At 37.5% G+C, this 22,986-nt stretch overlaps 2 protein-coding genes across 6 annotated transcripts in view, besides 1 other annotated feature; one reads left to right on the top strand and one right to left on the bottom strand.

Annotated features, from left to right (window-relative positions):
- The window catches only part of OSTN (osteocrin), a 66,375-nt gene extending 55,109 nt beyond the window's left edge, over positions 1-11,266 (top strand). For both annotated transcript variants that reach the window (NM_198184.2, XM_017006303.3), the window contains exon 5: positions 8,517-11,266. The gene's annotated coding sequence lies outside the window, so the exon portion shown is untranslated. The remainder of the gene's footprint in view (positions 1-8,516) is intronic.
- Positions 11,267-12,818: 1,552 nt separating this feature from the next.
- Positions 12,819-22,986, bottom strand: part of UTS2B (urotensin 2B) — a 79,015-nt gene continuing 68,847 nt past the window's right edge. For 3 of the 4 annotated variants that reach the window (XM_047447899.1, NM_198152.5, XM_011512631.3), the window contains 3 exons: positions 22,458-22,495; positions 20,903-20,996; positions 12,819-14,092 (listed from right to left, as the gene is read on the bottom strand). In XM_047447899.1, coding sequence (XP_047303855.1) covers positions 14,067-14,092; positions 20,903-20,996; positions 22,458-22,495 — 158 coding nt within the window. In that variant the 3' untranslated portion in view covers positions 12,819-14,066. Of the gene's footprint in view, positions 14,093-18,781; positions 19,216-20,902; positions 20,997-22,457; positions 22,496-22,986 lie in introns of those variants that run through there. The other variant, XM_017006091.2, reaches the window with a different exon arrangement.
- Positions 14,934-15,043: an enhancer, noted in NCBI's record as "active region_20988". NCBI's record gives its function as "activates an Ori minimal core promoter by ATAC-STARR-seq in GM12878 lymphoblastoid cells {active_cell/tissue: GM12878}" and the evidence as "EXISTENCE:reporter gene assay evidence [ECO:0000049][PMID:35858748]".

Consider the following 22,986-nt stretch of genomic DNA (forward strand, 5'->3'; position numbering starts at 1 on the left):
ACTTTCTGAGAAGTCCGTATCAGCAGGCGTGAAGGTTGTTTACATATAAGTGGCTGTTATTTCTCTCAAAATTTAAATTGTCTAACTTCAGTCTGCCGGGCTTTATGAAAAGCACAGTTTTAATTTCTAGAGATTTCAGGTTAGAAAAAAATGGAAGAAAAAATTAAAAACCTTAGTTTGGAGACTTGTAGCCAAGAAAGAATTCAAGATTCAGTCCAAACTATAGGCAAATAATAAAAACTCAAAAACAATGAATAAGGCTAGAATCTAACAACAGGTGTCTGTATAGTTTTCTTTTGAAAGATAATTTTTCTCTCTCCACTTCCCCATTTCTACCAAAGATAAGTCATAGTCCTTATTTATTTGCAAAATAAGTTTTAGTCATATTATATATTCTACTTGGTCTGATTATTTGCATGAAGTACAGCAAAAATGTGATTGGCCATACAAGGTCTTTTTAAATTGGCTTTACTGAGACTTTCCTTATAAGGAATCTCAGATTAGACTTTCAAAAGCTTCTTGAGGTTAACCAAATCAAAGATTTATTTGTGCTTGTACACACCTGTATGAATTTGGGTGAATTTCTCTCTTCTCAGGGTCCTAAAATAACTTGAGATTCCTGGGCCTGTCAGAAAGTGACATTCTTTAGTTCAGCTGTCCCCAGGCTTTTCGGCGCCGGGGACTGGTTTCCTGGAAGACAATTTTTCCAAGGACCAGGGGGCAGGGGAGGAAATGGTTTTGGGATGAAGCTGTTCCACCTCAGATCATCAAGCATTAGTTAGACTCTCATAAGGAACACACAACCTAGATCCCTTGCATGAACAGTTCACAATAGGATTCGTGCTCTTATGAGAATCTAATGCCACTGTGGATCTGACAGAAGGTGGAGCTCAGGTGGTAATGCTCACTTGCCCACTGCTCACCTCCTGCTGTGTGGCTCAGTTCCTAACAGGCCACAGACATGTGCTGGTCCGCAACCCGGAGGATGGGAATGCTGCTTTACCGCAAGTCAGGAACTTCGTAAAGAAACCACATAGGCAAGGTATCAGGCAAGTCTTTCCAAGAGGCTTTTTATTGGCTCTATAAAGTCAAACTCAATTCCTCAAAGTAGTCTGGACATTTCTAAAAATATACCACTCCACTCAAATCCTTGATGAAATAACCAGTGTCTGCAATTGTGTACTGTTAAAAAACAAAACATATTCTTGCTGAACTTACACAAAACATTATATTCCTAGAAACTAAAAATGCTCACAAATAGTTTCTAAATTCTGAAGAAGGCAGGTAGAAAGAAATATGCTTCAAATTTTGTTCACAAAAGTATGCTTTATCCAATCTGTTGTAAGATATAAATAGCCCTAAAAAAAGTGTTTTAACTCTGAAAAAAAAAACAAAAATAATCAGCAATGTTCAAACAAAAAAAGTCATTAAAATGATTTCGGTTTTCTGTTACTTTTAGCCAATGTAATTAACTCTTCTTCTGCTTGATGTTGCGTTAGCAGTTGCCATGAATGCATCAGCTTTTTAATTAGAGTCCTAAAAATTTTGTGATTTTTACCTAATCAAATTGTATAATCTCCAAAGTTATTAGAAACCTGTACTTAAGAGTACTTACAAAAGTACTTTCCATGAATTTCCAGAAAGAAGCAAACTTTGGATTGTGGCTGATTATAAACCACCTTTTAAGAAGAGTCAGAGTAAAATAATAATTGTCTGTGTATGACAAAAGTCTTAGACTGGCATGGTTAAAGAAAATTGACAAGAAAAATCAGTTATTTCTATAGCATATAACAATTTAACATAATAATTATAATTAAATACTACTGATAACATATGCTAAAACATATCAGAATTTCAGGAACCTCATACAATTTTAGAACACATCTTAATAACACACTTATATAAATATAATGCAAAGTAAAACACATTTCAGACTTGACAATGCTTCCTGTATAATTTGAACATGCCAAATAAGCTGTATATGTTTTTCTTGGACTTCCACGGGCTGTAATATTTAAAAAGGTAGTTGAGGTAAAAAAGACTGAATTTAGCATTTGAATTTTGATTTTGGAAAGTTTATCAAACATCAAAAGTTTAAAATCCTTGATATCACAAAATAAGATCACAGGTCTCTGTAAAATAAGACATTCATTTAGCCAAAATAATAATTCAGAGATTTCAAAAAGCATAGAGAGAAGACTCAGTTTCTTAAACAATCATAAGGTCTAATAAAGACAGCATGAGGCAAACTGAAACTGTCTCTCCCCCTCTCTCCTCCTTTTTTTTTTTTTGCAGCTTAGTCAAACAGCAAATAAAATTTTTTACTACCTCTTATTAATACTATATTAAAAGATTATTCAAAAGAGAAAACCAAATTTTACCTTTGTATTCATGTATTATTAATGCTAAAGCTAATTTTAATAAGTTTATAAACAAATCCATACAATTTCAGTTTTATAACCTCTTACAATTTTTAAAATTTCTTCAATTTAAAACAATCCTTAAAACCTCTAAACTAGACAAAATTACTTTCACTTTAACAAAAACCAAGGTTGGGTGTTGTGGCTCAAGCCTGTAATCCTAGCACTTTTGGAGGCCAAGGCAAGAGGACCACTTTGAGCCCAGAAATTTGAAACGAGCCTTGGCAACAAAGGGGCACCCCATCTGTACAAAAAAGTTTTTTTAAATTAGTCAAGCATTGTGGTGCAAGCCTGTAGTCCCAGCTACTTGGGAGGCTGAGTTGGAAGGATCACTTGATCCTGAGAGGTCAAGGCTGCAACGAGCCATGATCACACCACTGCACTCCAGCCTGGGTGACAGAGCAAAACCCTCTCTCAAAAAAAAAAAAAAAAAAAAAAAAGACCATAGACACACAAATTTACATGCCTTTTTATAATCCTTCTTACCAAAAACATACTCTACTTCCTTACACACTTTGCATATTTTTTCTCTTATATCTAGTAGTTTTGACTACATATAGTTATTATAGTGTTAATAATTAGTAACTTTTATTTTAGTAAAAAATCTAGGAAGTAGGTAATTTTAATTACATATCAGATGCAGAGCCCAGGACAAAAGACAATGCCTGGAGAATCTAATTTCTCACAGCATCTCCCAGCAGGGGAGGCATAACTGGGATAGGAGAGAATCTAATCTCCCAGCAGGGGAGGCATAACTGGGATAGGAAAGATGGACCAGGTGTTATCCCCCACCCTCATCATGGGCATCTGTCTAGACCTCTGAATCGAAAGGCTGTAATCAAGATACACAGACTCGGAAACAAATTAATCAAGTATCAAAAATATCAAGCAACAATTTTTTGGCCATAAACCTGCCTGATCAATAGACTCAGACAAAAATGTCTACATTAAAATTTTGAAGACATTTTAATATTATTTTACCAATAATTTTAAAACTATCTTTATTTCTCAAAGATTGCTAAAATCACATGAACTTGAAAAGCATTTGGTCTTAATTTATGAGTACTCATTTATTTTTAAATTAATGTGGTACCATGTGTAGACAATATTAAACATGTATAGCTATAAATACATATATACATATACATGTATGTATAGAGAGACACAAGGTATAGCATACACATCTGCACATGAAGACTTTATTGTTTTGATTTTAGAATTTTAGCCATAAGACAGGTAAAACTCACTAGTCTAAAAAGACAGATTGAAACTATGCCTTTGTAAATGGAAAAATTTAAGGCTTATCTGGAGTACCCCTTCTGAGTTTCAGAGAAAACAGGTAGCAAATTTATATCTCAAAGCACAGAGAGAATTTGATTTTTCAAGAAGCTTGAGTAGTCAAAGGAAGATTAAAAATGAATGCCAAGATTCCTTAGGAATTAACCGTAAGATTGCATAAGGAGAGCAATCTCATTTAGATAGGTAGCTTTTAATTCAGTCTGTGTTTTTCAAGTGGACCACTGAGGTCAGGACAGAACTCATTAAGGAACAAGGCTAACAAAGTATTTTTAGTTTATAGGGCCTAATAATTTAAATATGAAAAAAGTGGATGCAGTTAAAAGGCAAAGCATTTAGATGTTTAAAAAGCAAGGGTTTCTGAGAGTTGAACAATGAGAACACATGGACACAGGGAGGGGAACATCACATACCAGGGCCTGTCGGGGCGTAGGAGGCAAGGGGAGGGATAGCATTAAGAGAAACACCAAATGCACGCGGGGTTTAAAACCTAGATGACGGGTTGATGGGTGCAGCAAATCACCAGGGCACATGTATAGCTATGTAACAAGCCTGCACGTTCTGCACATGTATTCCAGGACTTAAAGTATAATTAAAAAAAAAAAAAAATCAAGGCTTTCACTGAATCCCAGGTACCCCCAAAAGAGGAAAGCACCATGGAAACCAGGCCACACACTTTGGTCACTTTGCCGCAAATACATTTTTCTGGGTGTTTAAACCGCACCGTTGTTCATCTAATGTGCAAATGAGTAGCCCCCTGTAGTAACAAGCATTTATTGGAAACAACTATAGTTGGCCATGTCTAACACTGTTACTCTTGCCTAGCCATTACATACACTAAGGTCAAGTCTCTCATAATACCAAATAATTTCTGGTCAAAAGCCAAAGTGATCAGGTAACACAATACAAAAGAGAGCAGAGTTTTAGACCTCACAGGAGGTTGCCTACGACGCTTAAAACTGCAAGGAAAGAAGACTCCCAGAAAGGAGTAAGAGTACTCTGAGTTACCTTCTTCTGAGTCCCTTAAGGAGTGTGAGCTGTTAGAAGTCTTTTCTAGACCTTTTCCTGTGGTACCAAAAATGGCAAAGAGGAAGGAGAAGCAGGGAGAAGTGAAAGTAAACGGGAAAACAATCTGTTTTTTTTTTTTGAGACAGACTCTTGCTTTGTCGCCCAGACTGGAATGCAGTAGCACCGTCTCAGCTCACTGCAACCTCCGCCTCCCAGATCCAAGAAATTCTTCTGCCTCAGCCTCCCGAGTAGCCAGGAGCTACGCCCCCTGGCTACTTTTTGTAGCCCCCAGCTAATTTTTGTATTTTTAGTAGAGACAGGGTTTCACCATATTGACCAGGCTGGCCTCGAACTCGTGACATCATGATCCACCCGCCTTGGCCTCCCGAAGTGCTGGGATTACAGGCGTGAGCCACCTTGCCTGGATTTTTTTTTTTAACCAAAATACACTCCCTGGTAAAATTAATAAGCCTTAACCAAGGTTCTGACTTAACCAAGGATGTATGAGGTGTCTCCAAAGAAATAAATGACCACCTCCAAAAAGTCAAAAGTCACACAGATGTCAAACCAACAGGGCCCCCTGACTGGGTATCAAAGCCAGGCGTTGATGCTGAAAGCATGGACTTTTAACTATTAGACCACAAGGCAGGATGGCTTTTATTGTTATTCCCTCAGGCAATCTCTTACAAAGGATTTTAAATGTTTTAGGTCAAATTTTTGCCCTTTAATTTAGTCAAGAGAATTTTGAAAGCTAGCTATGACCCTATTATGTATCCTTCTTTTTTTTTTTTTTTTTTCTTGAGACAGAGTCTCACTCTGTCACCAGGCTGGAGCGCAGTGGTACAATCTCGACTTACTGCAACCTCCACCTCCCCGGTTCAAGTGATTCTCCTGCCTCAGCCTCCGGGGTAGCTGGGACTACAGGCACACACCATGCCCGGCTAACTTTTGTATTTTTAGTAGAGATGGGGTTTCACCATGTAGGCCAGGATGGTCTCGATCTCTTGACCTCATGATCCGCCACCTCACCCTCCCAAAGTGCTGGGATTACAGGGGAGAGCCACAGTGCCCAGCCTGTGTATCCTTTTAATTTAATCTTCGCATCAATTGTTTGGTGTAAGATATCTCTAATTTTTTTTTTTTAATTTAGGAATTTTAGTCTAACTTAAAGGATCCGTCTTCTGGCCACCGACAATTAGGGTTTCCAGTGGTGTACTTATTCCAGTAACAACTCAATCCAAAAGCCTCTTCCTGTAAAGCCAGAATGTAATTTTAGGGCATAGACAAAAACAATGCCAAAGATTCCCCCACCAAAAATCTCACTCCCGGAAACAGGCTAAGAGAGCAAAAGACTCTTGTTGCCACAGATATTAAGGAACCCACAAATTTCTGAGGGGGGTGCCAGTCACAGTTGTGAGGGGGGTGCCAGTAATCTGTGACACCAGGTGTCCCCTCCTGGGATTGGACTTTCCCGGCATTAACCAGGCAACAACGGCTGAGAAAACAAAAGCTCCTTATGGACAGGACTTCTTATGACAAACCCCCGCCCCCGAGCTTGGGAGATTAGTAACAAAAAAAGTCTTGGGTTCCCAGGCATTTTTAGGATGGCCACCTGATGTGATCCAACAACCATGCCCTTCGGGTGATGGAGACCAGGAAAGACTGCTCCCACTTAGTCAGATGTCAAGCTCTCCAGGACATAAAACTGAACAAGAGGGAACTTTATTTGGTATCCCTCTTTATGAACAACACAGAAAGACAGAGACAAAGAAAAAGACTGTTTCTGGGAGGAAAGAGATCAAACAATATGAATATTCATACACAAAGTACCAAAAAGTACACCAGAGATACTATACCCCAAGTTAAGTCACATAAATCTTTGTCTCGCATTAATCAAAATTGTGCAGAGGAAAGAGTGATTTTTACCATTCACCTGATCAGATTACAGAGAGAGAGAGATAGAGGCCAGGAGCTTTTCTGGTAAGAAATTCTTACTCTTTTTGCCAGCAGATTAGGTCTTGGGTTCTCGTAACTGTGACTTCCAGCGGGGTGAAATTTTAATCTCGCTGCTCACTGCACCCAACTGAAGGTGCCAAGGGCTAACTTTAACCTTTGCCCCTCTGAAGGTTTGCCGAAAATCACTGACATGCGGCAGATGTAAGATTAAAAGGAGAAGAGGATACAAATTTATTTAATGTGTATACAGGGGAGCCTTCAGAATGAAGGACCCAATCTACTAATGGTGTTCAAAAAATTGTATATTATCTTGAGGTTACAGAAAGAATGCAGGCTCAGAGCATGGCCAAAAACAGGTTTTAGTGACAAGAGAGGTTATGGGAGAGAGAAAGAGGCTTGGCTAGCAAAGGTAGTCTTGTTATGTAGATAAAACCCAGCAGCCCTCAGAGAGAATAGATGGCAAATGTTTCTTTTCAGACCTCTGAAAGCATTAGACTCTCAGTTAATCTTCCCTAGATCTAGACAAGAGGAGGGCTGGCTGCATGAATGCAAATCCCCCCACAAAAAAACAGCTTTATGGAGCCACTTCAAAATATGTCAAGGAAGTATATTTTGGGTAAAATATTTTGATTTCCATCACTAGTTACCAGACCAAACACTAATTTCTTCCCTGATACGTATTTTTGAAAGGACGATAATTTGCTATTTATGCAATGGCTTTCTGAAATCATTAATATATTGTACCAAAGTTTTGAGTTTTTAGTAGGCTTTAGCTCTAAGCAACTCAAATTCAAAGAAGTATTTTGTCTAAATGTTCCTAGCTTTTCTAGATGAAATTAGCAAGTTCTAGGTCTGTGCCATTGAAATCAGAATGTCAACCTGATAAAATTAGAAATGTGACTATTGGCCGGGTGCGGTGGCTCATGCCTGTAATCCCAGCACTTTGGGAGACCGAGGCGGGTGGATCACCTGAGGTCAGGAGTTTGAGACCCGCCCGGCGAACATGGTGAAACCTCATCTCTACTAAAAATACAAAAATTTAGCCTGGCATGGTAGCATGGGCCTATAATCCCAGCTACTCGGGAGACTGAGACAGGAGAATCGCTTGAACCCGGAAGGCGGAGGCTGCAGTGAGCTGAGGTCGCGCACCATTGCACTCCAGCCTGGGCAAACTCCATCTCAAAAAAGAAAAAAGAAAAGAAACGTGACCATTAATTGTGCTACCACTTGCTGGCACATCCATTGAGACTTTTCTTCCACTAATGTGAGACACATGTTGCTGAATTATACTGAAAATTTTTATTTTAGATTTATATTGACATATATTGACATACCATCATTCAAATAAATTAATATAACTCAAATACAGCAGAAATCTTGTTTAAATGGCAGTATATGGTTGGATTCTTGGTAGAATGTGCAAAATATACAACTTTCAATGTGTTATAATAAACAGAAAGTAGTATTCAGGTTTTCTTTGTCCTTCTTTTGTTTGTCACGGCAGTATCCTTTGAACAAAGATTAAAAACTCAAGCAAAATAGAATATAGTTGGTACTTGAGGAAAGGAGCTGTGAAAAAGACTTTTTATAATTTTTATTAAAACTTGAGCATACGCACCTAGCTTATATGTTTAAAATATTCTTTTTAATGTATTTTGAACTGAAATTGTTATTTTGCATTATTGTCTTCAAAATAAAAAATTGCCATGTAAATAAAGGCTATAATGAAACAGCATGTAATTAAAGACTTAACTCTTCTCAAGTGAAGTTGATGGACTTCCACCTGATCTACAGAGTTCTCATTAGCTTTAACAATCTCAACTTTCGTTTTTGCAGATGCAACTTCCTTGGGTGAAATGTCACAGCAATATGGAAGATGCTTCACTGAAGTTATTCACACTTCTTAATGATTAAACTTTTAAGGAACTGACCTTCTGCAAATCCTTTCCAAAGCTTGAACTTCAGTCCATCACATTACAGCATTGTTACAGCTTCAATTAAATTGTGTAAATCATTTTGATGCACGTACATTTTAAAATTATATATTTTAATTATTCAAGAATGGTTAACTTCCCCTTAAACCTTACTTTTAAAAATAATAATTAAATACACAATACAGTGAAATGCCTTCTGTATGGATTTACCATGCACATGTTTGTAGTCAAAGAATAATAACAAAAGACAGATTTGCTTCTGTAAAATTTAGTTATAATCTGTCCATTATTGGGGAATGAGGAAAGGCAATGCTGTGTATTTTCTGTTGAGTACTTTCACTTCCCTGTATTCCATTTTTCCAAGAGTCTGATCGGTAATAATTATGAAATTAGGCTTCTCTTTTCATATTCAAGTTTCAGTCATGTTCAGAAAAATAAAACACAGCCCCAATGAGCCTATTGACTTAGAATTAAGAAAGTGAAGGACATTACTCATTTGTCAAACTTAGATATCACTTGTCCCCTAAAAACTTTCCATTTTTCTAAATTCTGACAGTTAAGAGCAGTAGTGTCTCATTAGGAGGGGAGTAAGCTCACACAGAGGTAAAAATGAAAGTAGGAGGGAAGTCAAAGAATTACCACCAGAACAGGTTAGGACCAGCTAAGCACACATCATTTTAGCTCAGTACACTTCAGCATAGTACAATGTGATCTTTTTGATATCTTGGATTAATCTAAGAAACTGTTTACTGTGTTTCACATATTGGCTTCTTTGGCTTCAATTGTCTTATTATCCTTAGTAAGCCAATTGAAGAGCATAATGATTTTGAGAATGATTTCTTAAAAATCATTCAGATTATTTTTGAATGACTTATTAAAACATAAGTTTTCGTATTGTAGAAAACTCAGTTCTCAGTAATAACTATGATGTTACTGTAGCTTGGACACATAGGTCCATTGTGCATTGGATATACTTTGAAAACACACAAAAAAAACTTTCTATGGAACAGAGATTCATCATAAGTTACTTAGCAGAAGTTTATAAAGCATCGAAAAACACTTCCTCTGTAAACCCTAAAAATCACTGTCTGATACGTGGGAGGAAAAAAGTTTTGTCCAGTAGAGCAAAGGCTTATTTCAGCATAAAAAGAGAGTGTTGTGAGTTGTGAGAAGGTGTCTTAATTTTAAAGGAAGAGGAGAGAAATGGGCAATTGCTAATCTTAACTAAAAATTAATGGACTTGTATGATCCAAAGAATAAAATAAACTCAAAGAAACATAACAAAAATATATTAGAAAAAGAGTTAAACTAAGAAATTGACCTTTATGAAGGACTAATTTTTCAGTTATCCAATGTGCTTTTTAAAGATAAAGTTTAAAAGAGGCAAAAAGAGGTGAAAGAAATGAACATGTGTACTTAGAATATATATATTGGTTTTGTATGTAACTTCTTAGTTTTTCTGGATATTTTTAAAATTGAAAGTCTTCAAAATTAATTTAGGAAAAATAGTAAATAATTTTTTTTCATTGTAGTAGAGGGCTGTAGCCAAGAGAAGTGAATTTTGGGAAATCTAACCAATTCTTTTTTTCATAAACTTGTGTTAGAAAGCTAGCAATAGCACATAGGGAAGTATCCTGGAGGACTCAGGAGTTGAAAGAATTATTTAAGAAGTTGTGATATCCTTGTCTGCCTTTCCCCAACCTTGTGATGAACTATAGAAATGTTTCCTATTGCTTAGAAGCTCTTTCTTTCCTTGTATGCACATTTGGGTATTTGTAAGCTTCTAATCCAATTGGGTTCTGCTTCATGCTTTGACAAAAGGTATTAAAACCTACTTTAGCCTAAAACTTTCTCATGGTAAATATTGGAAGTTGGATTATGCAAATTGATTTCCTCCATTCTTTATTTTTTAATTCAAAATTAGACTATGACATCCAACTTAATTAAAATAAGAAGTCACAATATAGTGATTTATGCTATAGTTTCATGTGTAATGTATTTTCACCTAATATACACACAATTTCCATGAAGGGAAGAAAATGTTTTCTCCACTTATAACTCTATTTTATTTCATATTTTAATTTTTACCACTACTTCATTCAGAGTAGAAAATAAGTCAGCAATATACTAAATAATGGGGCTATTCTTTTAACATAGCAGTAAATTAAGACAGAATTTTTGTTAAGAATATGACAAGTCATCTCACTTATTTATCCAATGCATTAGGTATTACTAATCCAACTATATTTCAACTTGAAGGGACTTTTTTGTTTTGTTTCAAAATAATGCATTACTTTTTTCTCTTTGCTTCTGTATGAACCTTTATAGAGCAAATGAATATATGTATATGGAGTTCTGGGTTCTAGTGTCAATTACATAATCAAATTTCATAAAAGGATGTTAGTTACTGGCTATGTTGTCCTAAAATTTACACACACTAAAAAATGTCTGTCAAGTTGTACCTTTAACCTGTTCATAGCTTTAGGGAATTAAGTTTCTTAAACCAAATTATGAAAAAATAACTTAATGGAATCTTCTAAAAGGAAAAAGTATAAAAAGCTTTCTGAATGATATTACCCCTTATACCTAAAGGCTCAAGATGCTTGAATATGGTTCAACTTTTCCAAAGTTAATAAACAAGGGATGATGAAAGCAGTTTTAATCTTTATTTATTATAACACATTTGCGTTCATAACTGTTGTAAATACATGAGAACATCTTCGGGCATTACCATGCAACTAATATTTATTTACATACATTTGAGTTATTCCTTAGCATTACAGGCATATTGCTCAACTTGGTCTATTTTATTGTAGGTTTAAATTTGTTTTAATAGTTTACTTGTTTGTTTCATTTCTGTTTTGGGGGTTTGGGGTTTTTTATTTGTTGTTTGTTTGAGACATGGTCTAGCTCCAGGCTGGAGTGCAGTGGTGCAATCACAGCTCACTGAAGCCTTGATCTCCCTGGGTCAAGCAATCCTCCCACCTCAGCCTCCCAGGTAGCTGGGACTGCAGACACATGCTACGACTCCTGACTAATCTTTGTATTTTTTGTAGAAATGGGGTTTCACCATGTTACCCAGGCTGGTCTCAAAACTCCCGGGCTTAAGCCTGATCCCCTCCACCGCCACCTCAGCATTCCAAAGTGGTGGGATTACAGGTGTGAGCCTCTGGGCCTGGCCTTTATTATTTTTTTTTTTTTTAATTTTATTTATGTTTTTGAGAGAGTTTAGCTCTTGTCGCCAGGCTGGAGTGCAATGGCGTGATCTCAGCTCACTGCAACCTCCGCCTCCTAGGTTCAAGTGATTCTCCTGCCTCAACCTCCCGAGTAGCTGGAATTACAGGCATGTGCCACCACACCCAGCTAATTTTGTATTTTTAGCAGAGACAGGGTTTCTCCATGTTGGTCAGGCTGGTCTCGAACTCCTGACCTCAGGTGATCTGCCTCGGCCTCCCAAGGTGTTGGGATTACAGGCATGAGCCACCGTGCCTGGACCCTTAATTTTTTTTAATAGTTTAAGCAATATTATTCATTTTATCTTATAAGACAGCTTTATCTTAAGCACCAACAATTTTATGTAGATTAAACTGTATCTTCTCCTCCCCATATAGTAAAGGGTGGTATGTAGATTGATTTGGTCAGCTATCACAGAGTAAGCTAGCCATTAATATTCTTTCATTGTAAAGTTACTTTGGCAATATATCTGTGCCAGCACAGATTGTAAACAAAATTGAGGTTGAACTTCCAAATTTTAATTGACTAAATAAATTTGTTTAGATGTAAGCAAGGGCAGTTTGATGTATAGATGTGAAACAAAAGCTAATCAAGAGAAAGCCAATGAGTTTTTGGGGTTTTTGTTGTTGTTGTCTTTAACCACACTGTGTCTAAACTCTTACAAGAATGCTGAGGGTCTCAAATAGTTTCTCATGTTGTGGAGGAGGCAGACATGAGAATTAAGAAAACAAAAGGCAAATCATTTTTTTAAGAAAGTTTTCTTAACATTCTATCTTTAAGGCATCTAGTACTTTTTCCCCAGAGTTTAATAAATCTGTTTCTGCTTAGTAATGTATCCATTTGTTGGAGTAGTCTCAATTACCATTGTTCAAATTAATAGAAAAGAGAGGTGGCCAATACAATCATAAAAATGAGAAAGAACAATAATGCATATTTTCCATGTAACTTGAGACAATATAACTTTCCAAGATGCTTTTCAAAATGTTTTAATTAATAGTTCAACAGCATAGTCACAACAGGACAAAACTTTACATAAGCAATGAATTTATGGAAAGCATACAATAGATACAGCATTTTCAACTCTAGCTCTACAAAACCATTTTGATAGTGACATACCTTCAAAAGTGCAACTGATTAGTGATTATTCACAACATAAACCTTAAGCTTATCATAATTGACTTAGTAACAAGAACAAGGTGAAAAAATCATATGCATAATAAATGCCAGTTTCTTTATGATTGAAACAGCTACAATTTTAAATAGCAGAGTATTGCGGGATCTGGCCAGTAGCCCGCAATGCAACGGGGCTCTTTGTTCCCAGGCGGATCAGCAGGTTGAGAAATAACAGACACACACAAGATAGTGAAAGCTGGGTCCAGGGGGGTCACCACCTTCTGGTCCCATGGTGCCAACAATGCACTGGATATACCAGCATTTATTATTAAGTTTAGCAAGGGCAGGGGTAGGTTAATGAGGGATTTAGGGTCATTTGATTATGAGGTGAGATGGTCACATGGGGATGAAGTAATTCTTTAACATAACATTTGTATGTAGAAGTACAGTACATTTGTATGTAGAAGTACAGTATACAGAGATAAGAATTTACAATATACTGTGTGTGTAATTTCTAACAGAGCCTTAAAACAGAAACACAATCTTTCCATAACCTATGATTAGCAAGATATTAATCAGCAGTAACAATTGTAACAAAAGCTGGTTACAAACAATCCATGGAAACAGGACATGAAGCTAGACAACCGCTTAGACCAGAAATTCTCAGAAGGAAATATGCCTTAACCCTAAAGAGGCCTAGAAGAGCCATGGCAAGATGAGGACGTTTACAACCCTATCTTATCCATATGGACAGGCGCCTTCCATGCATCCGTTTATAGGCTCTCCACGAGGGGCGCATTCCATTCCCAGAGCTATGAACATCTGCTTTTCTGGGATAGGAATCTTGGTGATATGAAACCTCCCTGACTGCACGTCCATTCATAGGCTCTCTACAGGGGGAAGCAAGTGCTGTTGGCTCATTCTGGCAGTCCAACCTGGCATTGTCTTTACACAATCCCGCATGCAATTTTGTATTTACAATAATCAGGAGCATTTCATCTTTTATTCCACAGCAATAGTTTCAGGGGGTCTGCCTACAGCAGAGTGAGTAGATACATATATTTTCCTGATATTCTTATCTTTTTTTGCATCCAGAGAAAAAGCTTTAAACACAGTATTTCCAAAAGCAAGCTAAAGAAGAAAACAAAATACATTTTTTATTAGAAGTATATTTGATAAAACTTGCTCTTGAATCAATAGCTTATGTGTGCCTGAATGCGAGAGTTAAGTTTTTAAAAGGGACAGTCAATATTGTAGCTACTAGCCTCATGTGGATCTTTAAGTTAATCACAATTAAATTAAAAATTCAGCATCTCCATCATACTAGTCACATTTCAACTGCTCAATAGCACTTGTAGCCAGTGACTACCACAATGGACAGTACAAACTAGAGAATGTTCCCATCACAGAAAATTCTATTGGACAACACTGTTATAAATTATAATACATATAATACAGTCTAGAGAATTCAATAGACTGCCCTATGAGATTCATCCCTCTATTTTACACTTGAGGTAACTGATATACCAAAAAGAAAGTCACATAAGTAAAAAAGCAGTGCTAATGAGAATCTATCTGTTGAGTGAAGAGGAAGGAAGACAGTTTAAAGGTCACTTTGCAGACCACAAAATGATATTTAAATAACTTCATTTGTCATCACATTTAGTCCTCCCATTCTGATCATAAAATGATTCTTCAGAGAAATCAAACCAAATATATTAGCATTTCAATCTTCAAATATATAAATGAATCATTTTAAATCTTCTGTAGGTTGTTACCAATCACCTGACTTACAGTAGTTGCATCTAGCTAATTATCAGTTTCTCTAATTTCCTTTTATTTAACTAGCTTATAAAACTAAGCCCCTTGGGAGAAGGGCCTTTGATTCATTGTTGATCAGTGGTATTTACAGTGAAAAAGAGTTGAAAAACATATAATCCCTCATTGAAATGAATGATAAATTTCTATGTGCTTGCCCAGGTTTTCCTCCCCAAATACACCGTAGCCCCTGTGCTTATCACCACATATAAACAGAGTTTTATGATATCACTCAGAGCCTATTTTTCATTTCTTCAAGAGCCACAGTTTCCCTTAGAAGCCACATTCAAACCCTGCGAAAGCAGAAGTCTATTTTCAGACATTGAAGTGAGGCGCTTCACCCACTAATCTCACCTTCTTCTTTTTTTTCAGGTTTTTTTTTTTTTTCTTTTTAAAAGATGAGGCTTCTCACTATATTCCCCAGCCTGGACCACAGTGGCTATTCACAGGCATGATCATAGAGTGCTACAGCTTCAAGTGATTCTCTAACCTCAGCCTCCTGAGTAGCTGGGACTACAGGTGCATGCCACCATGCCTGGCCAATCTTCTTTTTATAGTATGCTTTGGAAAGTTATCATCACTGACCTCTCTGTCTTTTCAGATGTCTTTGAATATCTGAGTCTGGCAGAAGAATATAAACTTACACTTAGCCAAGACTTATACCACATGAACAGCTCAATTAAATATACAATGGAATATAGTTTGGAGAATTTTTTGGATGTGGTCAAAGGGAACTGTCATGAGTCATACTGGTGGCAGAGCCAATTCCCCAATGTTTATAGCGTACACCATTCATCATTTACATAAAGTAAAACCCCAACCAGCTTTCTGGTGTCACTTAATGGCTGTCTTGTTAACTCTTGTATTCTCCGTTTTTAGCATGATGCTAGGAGTTGGACAGCTATATTTGTAGCAGATGTCTATCAACAATATATTAAAAGATTAAAGAAAGGTACAATATTTCACAGTAAGCGTAAGTTTTTACTGTCTTAAGCTGGATTTCTGGGTCTATTTCATCCTCATATATTGTTATTCACAGTGGTTAGTCTCTAGTTATGGCAACAGCACTGCACTTCATGTATAACGTGGATTATGTTCAGCTTTGTCACCGAAGCTGGAGTGCAGTGGCACAACCATAGCTCACTGCAACCTCGAACTCCTTGGCTCAAGGGACCCTCCAGTCTCAATCTCATGAGTACTTGGGACTACTAGCATGGGTCACCACACCAGGCTAATTTTTTAAATTTGTTGTAGAGACACAGCCTCCCTATATTGGCCAGGCTGGTCTCAGACGATTGGGCACAAGTGATTCTCCTGCCTTGGCCTCCCAAAGTAGTGGGATTGCAGGTGTGAGCCACTGGTACCTGACCTACAAACATGTTGTAATATCTACTTTCTTAAAAATAAACAAAAAAGGTTTTTTTTTTATGCTTTCAAATCATTCTAGCTGATATACCAATTTTTTTTCTATTCCTTAGCACAAAATTCTTTAAGAGAATTTTCTATTGTCAGTGGTTCCAGTTCTATAGTCATGTTTTCTTTAACAAAAAGTTCACCAAACAATCCTTGGCAAGGCCATTAATGACCTTTCCTCTGCTGAATTCAACTGGAAGTTCTCAGTCCTCATTTTACTGGATCTATCATAGTGAAATCAGCCCCATAGACCCATAGAGAGTTGTTTTTGGATAATCAGAAATTGACCCTTCTGCTGTTAAAGCTTAAAGCTTGTATTTGTTTTAGGTGAGTTTCTTCCTCAGGAAATGACCTTTAGGCCTCCCAAAAAAAACTGTCAAAGGGCCAGTTGTGGTGGCTCATGCCTGTAATCCCAGCACTTTGGGAGGACGAGGCTGGCAGACATGAGGTCAGGAGATCGAGACCATTCTGACCAACATGGTGAAATCCTGTCTCTACTAAAAATACAAAAATTAGCTGAGGGTGGTGGCCACATGCCTGTAGTCCCAGCTACTTGGGTGGCTGAGGCAGAAGAATCGCTTGAACACGGGAGGCAGAGGTTGCAGTGAGCAGAGATCACACCACTGCACTCCAGCCTGGTGACAGAGTGAGACTCTCTCAAAAAAAAAAAAAAAAAAAAAAAAAAGAGGTATCAAAGAACTGAAACTCACCAGATCACCCCATCCAGACAATGAGATATTGGACCACTCATTCATTATGATTGCTTCCTTGCCTTTCTCACACGTAGTTACATTTCTTCCCTGCTATATTAACCCTAGTTTTAGTGAGTTAGAGAGATGGATTTGAGACTGAGCTTCCATCTCCTCAGCTGCAGCACCCAATTAAAGCCTTCTTCCTTGGCAATACTTGTCTCAGTGATCAGCTTTCTGTGCAGTGAGCTGTAGGACCTAGACTGAACCCCTGGTGTTTTGGTAACAATAGCTTTGGATAGACTTAAACTCCTTTTTCCCAGAAACAGTTTTTTTACTTGACTTGTGGGTGTTGCTTTCTTGCCTCCTTCTTTGTACCTACTCCTACTCAGCCTCTTTTGTTGACTCTGCCTCATCTGCTCAGTTTCTTCCCTTGGAATGATCTGAGTCTCAGTTTTTAGGTATCTTTTCCTTATATTTGGAGTCACTCCTTAGATGCTCTCGTCACAATGCCAAACAATATTTATAATGCTGATAACTGCCAAATGTATATCTCTAATCTGGGCTGACTGAAGATATAAGATTCATATTCACTAACTTCAGATTCATACATCTAATCTTCTACTCAATTTACTCCTGGAAGATTTATTAAATATGGCATAACAAACCCAAAATATGTGGTAGGAATACAACTCTTCAGCTATTCCTAAGACTTCTCTGTATTTCCTAGGGATCCCACATCCCCATTAAGTTAAATTGGGATCATGTGCATAGCTCTGGCAGTTAAAAGCATATTTACCTGCTTCATCTCTTTCCTATCCTACTATAGGTACATTGGAGACCACGTGTTCCACATAGTGTATGCATGAAGTGAAGGAAAAATGGTCAACATATGTAAGACCTCATGTAAACTCGGTCAAAATTATAGAAAGTTGCATCACTGAGATTTAAAGGCTATTTTATCAGCTTGCTAAGCATATCCCAATATACAGTTTGATAACGTGAAGTGAGGGTGCTGCTGTAAAACATACCTAAAATCTGACACAGTATCAGCAACTCATTAATGGCAGACAAGGAAACTGATATCATAGGTTTGAAAAATTAAGAGTTATTTTATTAAATGGCAAAATAAGTGCTAAAACTCGCATCTGCAACAGCTTGGGATTCAGATCATGTGCCTAGAGCTCCTAGAAGAAAGGCTGGAAAAGAGTAAATTGGCAAGCAGTATATTTAGTTTGCTGTTGATTGCGATTATCCTTTCCCTGTTCCTTTGCTAATTGTTGGATATGTATGGGGTGAATAATAACTCATCTTTTCAGTTAATAGGTCTGTGAATGAAGAGTAGCTTGGCTGGGCATGGTGGCTCATGCCTGTAATCCCAGCACTTTGGGAGGCAGAAGCGGGTGGATCACCTGAGGTCAGGAGTTCGAGAACAGCCTGGCCAATATGGTGAAACCTGTCTCTACTGAAAATACAAAAAATTAGCTGGGCGTGGTGGTGCGTGCCTGTTATCCTAGCTACTTGGGAGGCTGAGGCAGGAGAATAGCTTGAACCCAAAAGGCGAAGGTTGCAGTGAGCCGAGGTAGCGTGCCATTGCACTCCAGCCTAGGCAACAAGAGCAAAACTCCGTCTAAAAAAAAAAAAAAAAAATGGGCAGGGCACAGTGCCTCATGTCTGTAATCCCAGCACTTTGAGAGCTCAAGGCAGGTGGATCACCTGAGGTCAGGAGTTTGAAACCAGCCTGGCCAACATGATGAAACCCCCATCTCTACTAAAAATACAAAAAAATTAGCTGGGCTTGGTGGCGCCCACCTGTAGTCCCATCTACTCGGGAGGCTGAGGCAGGTGAATAGCTGGAACCTGGGAGGCAGAGGTTGCAGTGAGCCGAGATCGCACCACTGCACTCCAGCCTGGGCTACAGAGCGAGACTCCGTCTCAAAAAAAAGGAGTGGCCACATTATATCTGATGAAGACTAGTAAATATATCCTGGAAAGCCTGTTATTTGTGCTGCATGCAGTCACTAGAAGAGATTTGGGGTTGTCTCTAATGAGAATGAGTTGAGTATAGTCTATGTTTTTAAGAAGAGATAAAGGATAGACTATGATAGAGGCAGTGCTCACCAAGTACTATAGGTACTTCCTTACATTTACCAACCTGCCTTGCCATATGTTGGTGGTAGTCCCAGTGACTAATCCCGGCCAATGGACTTCAGTAGAAATGATGTGTGTCCCTTCCGAACTGAGGCAATTGAAAGCTGGGATGTATCCTTTATCCTCTTCTGTTTTGGCAATGTTGGAGGCAGTTAAGCTGTATCAACGTTCTGGATGATAGGGCTACAGAATAGAGTGGTGCTGTGCTGTGCTGCAAGCATTGGACTCGATTCCCGACTTTATTACACCATGCCTCTGAGATTTAGATTACAACTGTTAACACCTAATAGCCTAAGCTATACTGATTCAGGAAAGGTCCAACAAATCTCTATTTCAACCTTTCTCTTGTACTTTCTTCTCCTCCAGTTATCCTTGGCTCAATAAACAGAAACTGTCCTTTGTTCCTAGTTGCTCAAAACAAAATCCTTGGAGTAATTTTTGACACCTGCCTATTTTTTACACTTCATGTGTAATTCTCCAGCACATTTTGTTGACTTTTATTTGAAATATATCCAGAATCAGACCAGCCTAACCAACATGGTGAAACCCATCTCCACTAAAGATACAAAACTTAGCCGGGAGTGATGGTGCATGCCTGTAATCCCAGCTACTTGGGAGGCTGAGGCAGGAGAATTGCTTGAACCCCAGAGACAGAGGTTGCAGTGAGCCGAGATTGTGCCATTGCACTCCAGCCTGGGCAGTGAAACTCCGTCTCAAAGAAAAAAAAAAAGCCACTAAATTCCCTCCCTCCTACCCTCCACTTCATCTTCTGCCACTTCATCCTTCACCCTTACTGGCTAAGTCACTTAGCAGTTGGGTTATTTTCAGCATTAAATTTAACCCTTCTGAGATGCAGTTTTCTCGTCTATAAAAAAAGTCATATTAATAGCTATTGTATGGGATTCATGTAGAAAATAATTGTAGTAATAATGATCAAAATAATTTTTTAAGTTAAGCTTACATAGTACTTACTACATACTAGGAATTATTTTAAATTAAATTAACTCATGTACTCCTCCCAACAATCCCATGAAGATTATTATCATTATCCGCATTTTTAGGCAAAGAAAATGAGGCAGAGAAAATTAGATAACTCTCCAAGGTTGCGTAGGTAGTCAAAGTTAAAATTTGAACCCAGGCAGTCTAGCTCTAGAGTCTGAATGCTTAATGACTATATTTTGAGACATTAAAATATAAAATGTCTGGTATATGTTTAGGGCTTAACACTGGTTCATCTTCTTCCCTCAATAATATTGTTAAAATATGATTTTACAGAAGTTAAAGACAAATCTGGTATAGGGGACAAGTAAAAATAAATATGACTTAGGAAATCTCTCATCACTACATGAACAAAGAAACAGGAATACATTTTTTTCAAAAATAAAAACAAAGTAAGAAACAATAATTTCCTAGGAAAAATTATCCAAAAGCATAATCCAAAAAAGTAATCTTTCTAAAATTAAATGCTATGAATCGAACCTTGGAACAAGTGTTATAGCAACGAAGTTTCCCCTTATGTCAGAATAGATTCTATGGAATTTTAAATTGACTTAAAATGGATTATTTCTATTTGTGGTCTTTGCTGCTTCAGTGTTTAAGCCAAAATAGCAAGAGTAAGCCAGAGTTTATACAATAAGGACCTATTTTATTTAAACCTGAGAAGTGTGAACTTGCCCCGTTGTAAACACCAGAAAGCTCAAATACATTTATATGGTAACACTTTTATTGGAATATATTTTTTTAATATGAGCCTTTATATTGGTCACCACCATAAGATTAAGAAATGCCAACTGAATCTTCTTCCTCTCAGAAATTACTGCAAAAATAATCTTTTGGAAGTCAATCTTAAAACCTTGAAATGAAAGCTTACCTCGTTTGCTAGGATGAGAAGAGAATAGACCATCTACAGCATAGGACGTCTCAGAATCCTTCTCCTCCACTAGCTGTTCTTTTAGCTTTTCCAGCTGATAAAATTGTAAAATGATAATTAATTGGTCTTCTATAAAACCATGCTGTTGACCGGGCGCGGTGGCTTATGCCTGTAATCCCAGCACTTCGGGAGGCCGAGGCAGGCAGGTCACGAGGTCAGGCGATCAAGACCATCCTGGCTAACACAGTGAAACTCCGCCTCTACTAAAACTACAAAAAATTAGCTGGGCGTGGTAGCAGGCACCTGTAGTCCCAGCTACTCGGGAGGCTAAGGCAGGAGAATGGCGTGAACCCAGGAGGTGGAGACTGCAGTGAGCCGAGATTGCACCACTGTACTTCTGCCAGGGCAACAGAGCAAGACTCCATCTCAAAAAAACAAAAAACAAACAACAAAAAAAAAACCATGCTGCTCTCTGTTGAAGAGGAAAGATAAAAAGAAAGAAAAAAAAAGAGAGAAAATGGATGAAAGAAAGGAAGAGAGAAAAAGGGGGAAATAGAAACAAAGGAAGAAAAAAACAAAAAAGAGAGAAGAAAAACAGGGAGCATGCATTCAGGGGCTGACTAGGAAAGGTACATGACTCAACAAAAGATCAGAAAGAAACAGGTTTTGGGCAAAGGAAGTCACCTCTGGGTGTTAATGGGGAACATGTAAATACAGCCTGTGTACTTGGACTTCATTTTGTGCCACCTATAATGAGCAGGTCTTTTCAAGGAGCTACAAATTATTGTGTCAATACTTGGATTTCCTGAATTTTTTGTCTTTTCTAGCTGGAAGGAAAAAGTATTTTGAGGCCTTAAGGTTTCCATCCAGAATTCAACTTATTTTAATTTTTAATTTTAATAAGGTTACTAATTGCCTTAGGCCCTGAAGAGCTAACTACAAAAGTAGGGTTCAGCCTGGACCACTCTTTATCTCCATGTTGGTGCTACTCAGAAGAGAATGATGAGAATAGTTCTCTCTCCCAAAGGGCCAGTTTGCAGAATAATGGAATTGCACGGAGAAAAGGGTGTTACTAGGGGTCCCCGTCAAGAAGGCAGCACTTTAGGCTCTTCACACCAGCTGCTTCAAGCCAAACAGCTTGACTTTTACATGTTTCATTTGCTGGGAAAACATAACATTTGGGGGAAAAAAGATTCCCACTGTTTAAAAACAATAACATCCATCTATTTACAGCCTCCCATTCTACAGATGAGGAGATTTCAGTCTAGAGAATTTGTTTGCCCCAGGTTTCACAGTTTGGTAATTGCAAAGCTAAAATTAGAATCCAGATTTCTAGACATTATAAAGAATGATCACTTCAGCCATAGTTTTGTTTTGTTTTGTGTTAGTATAACTTGATTTTTCTTTTTCTACAAAACAGCTTCACGCTTTGTTTAGCAGGAATAAAAGTTTTACATTGTAGTATTAATAATTTATTTTAAAAAACATTGTGTCAAGAAGAAATTTCCTTATAATTGTTATTAAAACTGCTCATTTAAGTATTTCACATTCTCACCTGGTTAAGTTCTTCCAGTTTGTTAGGTAAGGCTAGGTCTGCAAGACACATTTGTCACATGAAAAAACGTACATTGCAAGTAATATTTAATTTGCTTCAGTACACACATTTAAGATCTTACGTAGAAAGCATAGGTCTTTTTCATATGATTTGACATCACCCATCCATTCCTAATATAAAACCTCCAGTATATTTCTCAATGCCCATAGTATTGAAATGCAATCAGTTATGTCATCTGAAATATGTAATTTTCAACAATTAGCACAAAGTTTTTCTAACGTAGACCATAGTTCTAGCATGACCTATTATTTAGAAATAAACTATTTTTGCTGGCATGTGGAAATTCTCATAAAACAACATTAAATGGGGTTGTGGGCGGGGGGAAGCAAGCCATGTATTCTATGTATAATTCAATCGAGAAGAAAATTCTCCAAAATACTAAGGCTAACTTGCTCCAGGTTTTAAAATTTGGGTATAAATTTTTTGTTTTTATAAATTTCACTTATTTTTCAATAAGAATATATTACTT

This window comes from Homo sapiens, chromosome 3 (assembly GCF_000001405.40).
Source record: "Homo sapiens chromosome 3, GRCh38.p14 Primary Assembly".
Lineage (NCBI taxonomy): Eukaryota > Metazoa > Chordata > Mammalia > Primates > Hominidae > Homo > Homo sapiens.